General features: G+C 50.8%; 1 protein-coding gene across 6 annotated transcripts in view, besides 2 other annotated features; it reads right to left on the bottom strand.

Moving 5' to 3' along the window:
• FBXL18 (F-box and leucine rich repeat protein 18) overlaps positions 1 to 10,484 on the bottom strand; it is a 59,385-nt gene that overhangs the window by 48,094 nt on the left and 807 nt on the right. For 5 of the 6 annotated variants that reach the window (NM_001363441.2, NM_001367780.1, NM_024963.6 and 2 more), the window contains exon 2: positions 2,894 to 3,112. In NM_001363441.2, coding sequence (NP_001350370.1) covers positions 2,894 to 3,112 — 219 coding nt within the window. The remainder of the gene's footprint in view (positions 1 to 2,893; positions 3,113 to 10,484) is intronic. The other variant, NM_001367781.1, reaches the window with a different exon arrangement.
• Positions 7,718 to 8,656: an enhancer, noted in NCBI's record as "H3K27ac-H3K4me1 hESC enhancer chr7:5549867-5550805 (GRCh37/hg19 assembly coordinates)". NCBI's record gives its function as "activates a minimal SCP1, AML or CMV promoter by ChIP-STARR-seq in primed H9 embryonic stem cells {active_cell/tissue: H9 hESC(primed)}" and the evidence as "EXISTENCE:reporter gene assay evidence [ECO:0000049][PMID:30033119]".
• Positions 9,588 to 9,647: a silencer, noted in NCBI's record as "silent region_17916". NCBI's record gives its function as "represses an Ori minimal core promoter by ATAC-STARR-seq in GM12878 lymphoblastoid cells {active_cell/tissue: GM12878}" and the evidence as "EXISTENCE:reporter gene assay evidence [ECO:0000049][PMID:35858748]".

A 10,484-nucleotide genomic window follows, 5' to 3' on the forward strand; every position in this document is an offset into this window, starting at 1 on the left:
AAAGAGACTCTGTCTCAAAAAGAAAAAAAAGGCCGGGCCCGGTGGCTCACGCCTGGAATCCCAGCACTTTGGGAGGCCAACGAAGGCAGATCACCTGAGGTCAGGAGGTCGAGACCATCCTGGCCAACATGGTGAAACCTCATCTCTACTAAAAATACAAAAATTAGCTGGGTGTGGTGGCAGGCACCTGTAAGCCAAGCTACTGGGGAGGAGGCAGGAGAATCGCTTGAACCTGGGAGGCAGAGGTTGCAGTGAGCCAAGATGGCACCATTGCACTCCAACCTGGTGACAGAGCAAGACTCCATCTCAAAAAAGAAAAAAAAAAAAAAACGGTTTGGTGGTGGTTCCTCAAAAAGCTAAACATAGGGCTACCACATGAGCCAGCAACTTCACTCCTAGGGACAGACCCAAAGGAACTGAAAACTGAGACTCAGCCTCCCTACTCTGTGCCTGTTCACTGCAACAGATTCACAAGAAGCCACAGGTACAAACAGCCCCAGTGTCCATCAACAGGTGGATGGATGAATCAGATGCCAACTGTCCACACGGGGAAATGTGATCCAGCCACAAAGGGGAAGGGAGGCCGGGCGCTTCAGCGCATGCCTGTAATCCCGCACTTTGGAAGGCCAAGGCAGACAGATCAGTTAATCTCAAGGGATGGAGACCAGCTTGGGAAACATAGCGAGACCCCATATCTACCAAAAAGAAAAAATATATTAGCCAGGCGTAGTGGCGCACACCTGTGGTCCCATCTACTTGGGAGGCTGAGGCAGGAGGATGGCTTGAGCCTGGGAGGTGGACGTTGCAGTGAGCTATCATCGAGCCACCACGCCCAGCCTGTTTCTGTTTTTTGAGACAAGGTCTCATTCTGTTGTCCAGGCTGGAGCACAGTGGTACAACAATAGCTTACTGCAGCCTTGATGTCCCGGGGTTCAAGAGATCCTCCCACCTCAGCCTCCTGAGTAGCTGGAACTACAGACATGTGCCACCATGCCATGCTCATTTTTCTCTTTTTTTTTTTTGTACAGATGGAGTTTCACCAAGTTGTCCAGGCGGGTCTTGAAATCCTGAGTTCATGTGATCCACCTGCCTCAGCCTCCCAAAATGCTGGCATTATAGGCATGAGCCACCAGACCCGGCCAAAAAATTAAATTAAAAAAATGCTCCAGGCCAGGCACAGTGGCTCATGCCTGTAATCCCAGCACTTTGGGAGGCTGAAATGGGCGGATCACGAGGTCAGGAGTTTGAGACCAGCCTGATCAACATGGTGAAACCTCGTCTCTACTAGAAATACAAAAATTAGCCAGATGTGGTGGCAGGCGCCTGTAATCCCAGCTACTCAGAAGGCTGGGGCAGGAAAAACGCTTGAACCCAGGAGGTGGAGGTTGCAGTGAGCTGAGATAGTACCACTGCACTCTAGCCTGGGCAACAGAGTGAGACCTCGTTTCAAAAAAAAAAAAAAATGCTCTGGATGTACACCGAGAGGCACTGGCTAGAGGCGCCGAGCCCTTCCTCTGCAGAGAACAAAGCTTCATGGAGAGGAGGCCTGGAGGCCTGATACCAGCGTTGCAGGGAGCACACTCAGCTCCCTCATCCACTGAAGACCCTCCAGCAGAAAGAGCTAAAGCTTGCCAGGCACAATGGGTCACACCTGTAATCCCAGCACTTTGTGAGGCCGAGTTGGGTGGATCACTTGAGGTCAGGAGTTCAAGACCAGCCTGGCCAACATGATGAAACCCTGCCTCTGCTAAAAATACAAAAATTAGCTGGGCATGGTGGTGGGCACCTGTAATCCCAGCTACTTAGGAGGCTGACCCAGGAGAATCATTTAAATCTGGGAGACAGAAGTTGCAGTGAGCCGGGATCGTGCCACTGCACTCCAGCCTGGGGATTCTCGTGCCTCAGCCTCCTAAGTAGCTGGGATTACAGGCTCCCACCACCATGCCCAGCTAATTTTTTGTATTTTTTGTAGAGACAGGGTTTCACCATGTTGGCCAGGCTGGTCTCGAACTACTGACCTCAGGTGATCCACCCACCTCAGCCTCCCAAAGTGCTGGGATTACAGGCGTGAACCACCGCACCTGGCCTTATTTTTATCTTTAAGATTCATTACCAGGCCGGGTGTGGTGGTTCACGCCTGTAATCCCAGCACTTTGGGATGTCGAGGCGGGCAGATCACGAGGTCAGGAGATCGAGACCATCCTGGCTAACACAGTGAAACCCCGTCTCTACTAAAAATACAAAAAAATTAGCCCGGCGTGGTGGCGGGCGCCTGTAGTCCCAGGTACTCGGGAGGCTGAGGCAGGAGAATGGTGTGAACCCGGGAGGCAGAGCTTGCAGTGAGCCGAGATCATGCCACTGCACTCTAGCCTGGGCAAAAGAACGAGACTCCATCTCAAAAAAAAAAAAAAAAAAAAAAAAAAAAAAAAAAAGAATGGCTAAAACTTAAAAAACTGACAGTACCAAGTGTTGACAAGGCTGCAGAGCAATTGGAACTCCTGCACCCTGCTGGGGGGTGCAAAATGGTGCCCTCCCACTGCACCACTGGAGAGCCACATATTTAACTTTACAACAAACAAGACCCAGCAATTCCACTCCTAGCGATCCACAAGAAAGCACATCTCCAACCCCTCTCCCCCACTCCCAAGGCCCTAGGTTCCCTCCCAGAACCATGTCCACATACATCTGCACCCTCCTCCCCAGGCAGCACACCACCCATGCTTTTCTGCCCCTTGCTTCTGTCCCTCAATGCATCCTGCAGACGGCGCCAGTCAGGACTTGGAGTTCCTGCCACCTTTATATCAGCACACAGGGTTCCACTGCAGGGCTGTGCCCAGTCCTCAAAGACTGAGATCTAGCTTGTTTCTCATCTCCTGCCCCCACGCCTGCTCACCTGATAGTCCTTTTGCAGCAACACGGTGTGGATGAGGCTCTTGTCAAGGCACAGGGCTGCAAGCTTCCGACAGGTACGCCGGACGTTCAGAATCAGATCTGTGCTGGGGACGTGACTCAGGATGTGAAGGAGGATCTCATCAGAGAACCCTAGGAGGTGGACCCCGTCTGCCATCCCGGCTGCTGCAGGGTGCATGTCATCATCATCATTGGATATGTCCTGAAAATAAGGGGGACACCATTCCCACAGGATCCCCAAGGATGGCTGTCAGCCTAGCCTGCAGCTAGGCAGAGAAGCAAAGAGAAGCCCTTATCCATGGGAAAGAAGGTGTTTTTACTAAAACTCTCAACTGAATGACAAAGAATTCACGAAATCCTTCAAAACTCCATTATAGAGCTGTAAGCCAGGGTCTCCCTTCAAAAATGAAAGATTACAAAAAAAGATCATCATGTGTTTATTTCTTTTGTTGTGAGACAGAAGTTTCACTATTGTTGTCCAGGCTGGAGTCAATGGCGTGATCTCGGCTCACTGCAACCTCCGCCTCCCAGGCTCAAGAGATTCTCCTGCCTCAGCCTCCCAAGCAGCTGGGACTACAGACGCATGCCACTTTGTCCAGCTAATTTTTTTGGTTTTTTGTAGAGACGGGGTTTCCCTATGTTGCTCAGGCTGATTTCAAACTCCTGGGCAAGTGATCCTCCTGCCTTGGCCTCCCAAAGGGTGTTTTGTTATAATAGAGACAGGGTCTTGCTATGCTGCCCAGGCTGGTCTTGAACTCCTGGGCTCCAGCCTCCCAAAGGGCTGGGATGGCAGGTGTGAGCCACCATGCCCGGCCTCTTTTTTTTTTCTTTTTTTTTTTAGACAAGGTCTTGCTTTGTCACCCAGGGTGGAGTGCAGTGGCGCAATCTCGGTTCACTGCAACCTCCGCCTCCCGGGTTGAAGCAGTTCTCCTGGCTCAGCCTCCCAAGTACGTGGGATTACAGGCGACTGCCACCACGCCCACGCCCGGCTAATTTTTGTATTTTTAGTAGAGACGGGGTTTCACCATGTTGGCCAATCAGGTTGCAAATTCCTGACCTCAAGTGATTCATCCGCCTCAGTCTCCCAAAGTGTTGGGATTGCAGGTGTGAGCCACCATGCCCGGCTTTTTTTTTTTTTTTCTTTTGGAGAAAGAGTCTCACTCTGTGGCCCAGGCTGGAGTGCAATGGTGCGATCTTGGTTCACTGCAACCTCCACCTCGCAGGTTCAGGAGATTTTCGTGCCTCAGCCTCCTGAGTACCTGGGATTAAAGGCATGTGCCACCGTGCCCAGCTAATTTTTGTGTTTTTAGTAAAGACGGGGTTTTGCCCTGTTGGTCAGGCTGGTCTTGAACTCCTGGCTTCGAGTGATCTGCCCTCCACAACGCTAGCCTTTCAGGCAAGAGCCCTGCACCTGGCCATGCACACTTCCTTTTCCATTGCTGTAGTTCATATCTGGCAAATTACAAGGTGTTCTTCCCTAATGTGGGCCTGAGTCAAAATGCCTGATGCCTTTTTGGTTTATACGATGAAGAGGGAGAAGAGCTGGACCTAATGAGACATGAAGTCCCCAGATCGGGGACAAAGGAAGGCAGAAGGCTTTACCAAGGGGAGCCTCTCAGAGCAGCTGATCTCTGTAAAGACCACGCCGAGGAGAGAGTGCCCGGAATCATCTCCACTACATCATCTTTCTGGGGACTGTGTCTACACGACCCTCTGGCTCCAGCCTGCTCCTGCTTCCTGTACATATTTGCCTGGATGGAAGCTCTGAGTTTTGCAAAGCCAGGCTGCTACCATGGCAACCGTGAAGGCCATGGAGGAAGAGCCTATCTGCACACCCCACACGGGTATCGGAGGTTTCCTGGGAACTCTGACTGCGACAGTCCTTTCACCCTCTCCAGACAGGATTCCCATCCTGCTAAGCCCTCGCCAGGCCCTAGACAGGTGTGCTGGAATGTGTCCCACCTTTCTTCCCTGGGAACAAAGAAGTACCCTCCATCCTCCAAAAGAGAAAGCCACACGGAAACCAAAGGACATGGCCCGTAAGGACCCATGAGGCTCATGAGGGTCAGAGGTTAGACACTTACTTCTACCTTCCCTCCTAATATTTTAATAATTAGCAGAACAAGGCCGGGCATGGTGACCCACACCTGTAATCCCAGCAGTTTGGGAGGCCGAGGCGGGGAAATCACAAGGTCAAGAGATCGAGACCAGCCTGGCCAACATGGTGAAACCCCGTCTCTACTAAAAATACAAAAATTACCGGGGCATGGTGGCAGGCGCTTGTAGTCCCAGCTACTCAGGAGGCTGAGGCAGGAGAATCGCTTGAACCCCGGAGGCAGAGATTGCAGGGAGCCAAGATCACACCACTGCACTCCAGCCTGGGCAACAGAGCAAGACACTGTCTCAAAAGAAAATTAGCAAGACAGGCTGGGCACAGTGGCTCACACCTGTAATCCCAGCATTTTGGGAGGCTGAGGAGGGCAGATCACGAGGTCAGTTCTCGAGACCAGCCTGGCCAACATGGTGAAACCCTGTCTCTACTAAAAATACAAAAATTAGGCCAGACGTGGTGGCTCACGCCTGTAATCCCAGCACTTTGGGAGGCCAAGGCAGGCGGATCACGAAGTCAGTTCTCGAGACTAGCCTGGCCAACATAGTGAAACCCCATCTCTACTAAAAATACAAAAACTAGCCAGGCGTGGTGGCATATGCCTATAGTCCCAGCTACTCGGGAGGCCAAGGCAGAAGAATCACTTGAAACCGGGATGTGGAGGTTGCAGTGAGCTGAGATCGCGCCACTGCACTCCAGCCTGGTGACAGAGCAAGACTCCATCTCAAAAAAAAAAAAAGAAAGAAAAAAATACAAAAATTATCTGGGCCTGGTGGCGGGCACCTGTAATCCCAGCTACTCAGGAGGCTGAGCAGAATTACTTGAACCCAGGAGGCAGAGGTTGCGGTAAGCCGAGATCGCACCATTGCATCCAGCCTGGGCAACAGAGCGAGACTTTGTCTAAAAAAAAAAAAAAAAAAATTAGTGGGACACAGTGGCATGTGCCTGTTGTCCCAGCTACTCAAGAGGCTGAGGTGGGAGGATCGCTTCAGCTCAGGAGGTTGAGGCTGCAGTGAGCTAGGATCTTGCCACTGCACTCCAGCCTGGATGACAGAGAGAGACCTTGTCTCAAAAAAAAAAAAAGATAAATAAATAAAAATCAGATTCCTGGAACCCACCCCAGACTTGTGGGGCCCAATCCCAAAAGACAGACTCCCAAATCAGGGACAACCTTTATCAGAACCAGAGACAAACTTGATCAGAATCAGAGACAATCTTTATCAGAACCAGGGACAGTCCTTATCAAGGAATGAACTGTACCCCTCCCAATTCCCAGTTTGCAGATTTATGAAAGAATGCCATCACAGAGCTCACGTGGTAAGAATGAGAACTTAGGGCAAAACACTATTAAAAACTCCAGCACTGGGCCAGACGCTGTAATGCTGTGCTCACGCCTGTAAAACCAGCACATTCAGAGGCTGAGATGGGTGGATCACCTGAGGTCAGGAGTTTGAGACAGGCCTCGGCAACATGATGAAACCCCATCTCCACTAAAAATACAAAACTTAGCCGGGTGTGGTGGCACACGCCTATAGTCCCAGCTACTCAGGAGGCTGAGGCAGAAGAATCGCTTGAACCCGGGAGGTGAAGGTTGCAGTGAGCCGAGATCGCACCACTGCACTCCAGCCTGGGTGACAGAGTGAGACTCTGTCTCAAAAAAAAAAAAAAAAAATCCAGCATCATATAGATTCCACAGTTACACGACCACACTGAATTTTTCTTAAAACCTCATAGAAATTACAATAATTTTTTTTAAAAAGAGAGGGAGAGACAGCAGGCCAGGAATTAAGTTCCAGCTCTCTCCATCCAGCCACAGCAAATTCCACAACATCATTTTTTCCACATGCTGTGCTCCAAATAAAACAGAAATTTTGGACAGGCGCGGTGGCTCACGCCCGTAATCCCCAGCACTTTGGGAGGCCAAAGCGGGTGGATCACGAGGTCAGGAGTTCGAGACCAGCCTGGCCAATATGGTGAAACCCCATGTCTACTAAAAACACAAAAATTAGCCAGGCGTGGTGGTGGGCTACTGTCCACAGCAACTATCCAGCAACTCGGGGGGCTGAGGCAGAAGAATCGCTTGAACCTGGGAGGTGGAGTTTGCAGTGAGCTCAGATTGTGCCACTGCACTCCAGCCTGGGTGACAGAGTGAGATTCCATCTCAAAAAAAAAAAAAAAAAAGAGAAGTTTCATCTCAGGCCAGACCCCTGATGCAATTGTGGGGCCAGCACCCAACCTGGTGGGGCAGGTATCTGAGGGGTGATGCCCAGACAAGACGAGAAACTGGCCCAGGAAGCAGCTCGAATGGGCCCCCACCCCCACTCTCCATCTCCGGCCAGAGGACCCTAGGAGGCAGCTGCTGGGCGGGCGAGTTGAGTCATTTCCCTGGAACTTAGCTTCCGGAGACAACTTTGTTAAGTTAAGGCACCTTGCACCAAAAAAGGTGGCAAGCTCTGGAGAGGAAACAAAAACCAGGGTGCAGGAAGGGCGCGGTAGCTCATGCGTGTAATTCCAGCACTTTGGGAGGCTGAGGCAGGCAGATCACTTGACGTCAGGAGTTCGAGACTAGCCTGGCCAACATGGTGAAACCCCATCTCGACTAAAAATACAAAAATTAGCTGGGCGTGGTGGCAGGCGCCTGTAATGCCATCTACTCAGGAGGCTGAGGCAAGGAGAATTGCTTGAACCGAGGAGGTGGAGGTTGCAGTGAGCCAAGATCGCACCACTGCACTCCAGCCTGGGCGAAAGAGTAAGACTCTGTCTCAAAAAAAAAAAAAAAAAAAGAAAAGAAAAAAAAACCCAAGTTGCAGCCTGGGCAATGTGGCAAAACCTCGTCTCTACAAAAAAATTAAAAAATTAGTTGAGCCAGGCACGGTGGCTCACGCCTGTAATCCCAGCACTTTGGGAGGCCAAAGCAGGCAGATCACGAGGTCAGGAGTTCGAGACCAGCCTGACCAACACGGTGAAACCCCGTTTCCACTAAAAATACAAAAATTAGCCAGGCATGGTGGCACGTGCCTATAGTCAGTCCCAGCTATTCAAGAGGCAGAAGTGGGAGGATCACCTGAACCCGGGAAGTGGTGGCTTCAGTGAGCCATGATCGCGCCACTGCACTCCAGCCTGGGCAACAGAGTGAGATCCTGTCTCCAAAAAAAAAAAAAAAAAAATCTAGGTAACTGGCTGGAGGTCAAAGGCCAAGTAATGCCTCCCACAGGGCCTGGACTCCTAAGCCCAGAACCTCCCTTCCCTCCACCACCAGGAAAGGGCAGCTGAGGCTTCCAGACAGGTCCCAACCAGGCACCTCATTCCTGGGGTCTCCTGAAATTCCAATTCTGGTGTGAGTGGCAGGCCCTGGAATGTGCTTACCAGGCACACTAGGAACCACCGGCTATAATGACAACTTGAAAGTGGTTTAAAGAGTTTAGTTATTCGCTAAACTCTGTGTTTTATGTACTTTTCAGAATATGTAACATTTCACAGTTTTTTCAAAACCCTTCCTTTGTAGAGATGGAGTTTTGCCATGTTGCCCAGGCTGGTCTCAAACTCCTGAGCTCAAGTGATCTGTGCCTGGCCTAGTTTTTTTCAAAAGTGAAGCAAAAGTAAGATCTGAAATCTTGGCTGGGCATGGTGGCTCACGCCTGTAATCCCAGCACTCTGGGAAGCCAAGGCAGGTGGATTATGAAGTCAGGAGATCGAGACCATCCTGGCTAACACGGTGAAACCCCGTCTCTACTAAAAATACAAAAAAATTAGCCAGGGGCCGGGCGCAGTGGCTCACGCCTGTAATCTCAGCACTATGGGAGGCCAAGGTGGGCGGATCACCTGAGGTCAGTAGTTCAAGACTGGCCTGACCAACATGGAGAAACCCCGTCTCTACTAAAAATACAAAAAAAAAATGTATTTTTTTTACAAAAATACAAATGCGGACGTAGTGGCACGCGCCTGTAATCCCAGCTACTTGGGAGGCTGAGGCAGGAGAATCGCTTGAACCTGGGAAGCAGAGGTTGCAGTGAGCCGAGATCGTGCCATGGCACTCCAGCCTGGGCAAAAAGGTGAAACTCCGTCTCAAAAAAAAAAAAATCAGCCAGGTGTGGTGGTGGGCGCCTGTAGTCCCAGCTACTTGAGAGGCCGAGGCAGAAGAATGGTGTGAACCTGAGAGGTGGAGCTTGCAGTGAGCCGAGATCGCGCCACTGCACTCCAACCTGGGCGACAGAGCGAGACTCCATCTCAAAAAAAAAAAAAAGGATCTGAAATCTTATTACCTGCCAAAAAACATCTCCTACCTAGAACCCTAACCTGGGCTGGGCGCAGGGGCTCACACCTGTAATCCCAGCAATTTGGGAGGCCAGCCTGAGCAACACAGTCACACCTCATCTCTAAAAAAATTTTAAAAAGAGAAATAAAAATAAAGAATGGGCCGGGCACAGTGGCTCACGCCTGTAATCTCAGCACTTTGGGAGGCCGAAGAGGGTGGATCACGAGGTCAGGAGATTGAGACCATCCTGGCTAACACGGTGAAACCCCGTCTCTAGTAAAAAAAAAAAAAAAACCAAAAAATTAGCTGGGCGTGGTGGCGGGCGCCCGTAGTCCCAGCTACTCGGGAGGCTGAGGCAGAAGAATGGCATGAACCCGGGAGGCGGAGCTTGCAATGAGCCGAGATCACGCCACTGCACTCCACCCTGGGCAACAGAGCGAGACTCCGTCTCAAAAAAAAAAAAGAAAAAGAAAAAGAGGCACTGAACCATGTGAAGTGTTATTTAAAAAAAAAAAAAAAAAAAAAAAAAAGCAGAGTCCAGCTGGGTGCTGTGGCTCACGCCTGTAATCCCAACACTTTGGGAAGCCAAGGCGGGTGGATCACCTGAGGTCAGGAGTTCGAGAACAGCCTGGCCAACATGGCGAAACCCTGTCTCTACTGAAAATACAAAAATTAGCCAGGTGTGGTGATGCACACGTGTAACCCCAGCTACTTGGAAGGCTGAGAAGGGGAATCGCTTGAGCAGGGGAGGCGGAGGTTGCAGATCACACCGCTGCACTACAGCCTGGGCGACAGAGCGAGACTCTGTCTCAAAAACAAAGAACAAACAAACAAGGAACAGAGGGGGCTTTAAGCTGTAATTCTGTAAGACCAAGGTACCAGGACCCCCCTTCTTCCCTGACCCCAAGCACACACAGCTAACTGGAATCTTCATTTCAATCTTATCAATCTGCAGTTGAGCCACACACCGTTCCTTGTCAATCAAGAAGCCACTGGGGTCATTTCTAGGCCGCATTCACTTCAAATGTAGAAGGGCGGTGAGCACAGCGACCCCCAGCCATCTCCAGAGACCCTGCCCCATCACTCTGAGGAAGACACTTGAGCCTCTCACTCTTGCTCCCTAGAACCCAGGCAAGCTCCTAAATCTGCGAAGTGCACCCAACGATCTGAGACCTGAAAGGTGACAGATACCAACCCAGGTGCCCATAC

Source organism: Homo sapiens, chromosome 7, assembly GCF_000001405.40.
Source record: "Homo sapiens chromosome 7, GRCh38.p14 Primary Assembly".
NCBI classification, from domain to species: domain Eukaryota; kingdom Metazoa; phylum Chordata; class Mammalia; order Primates; family Hominidae; genus Homo; species Homo sapiens.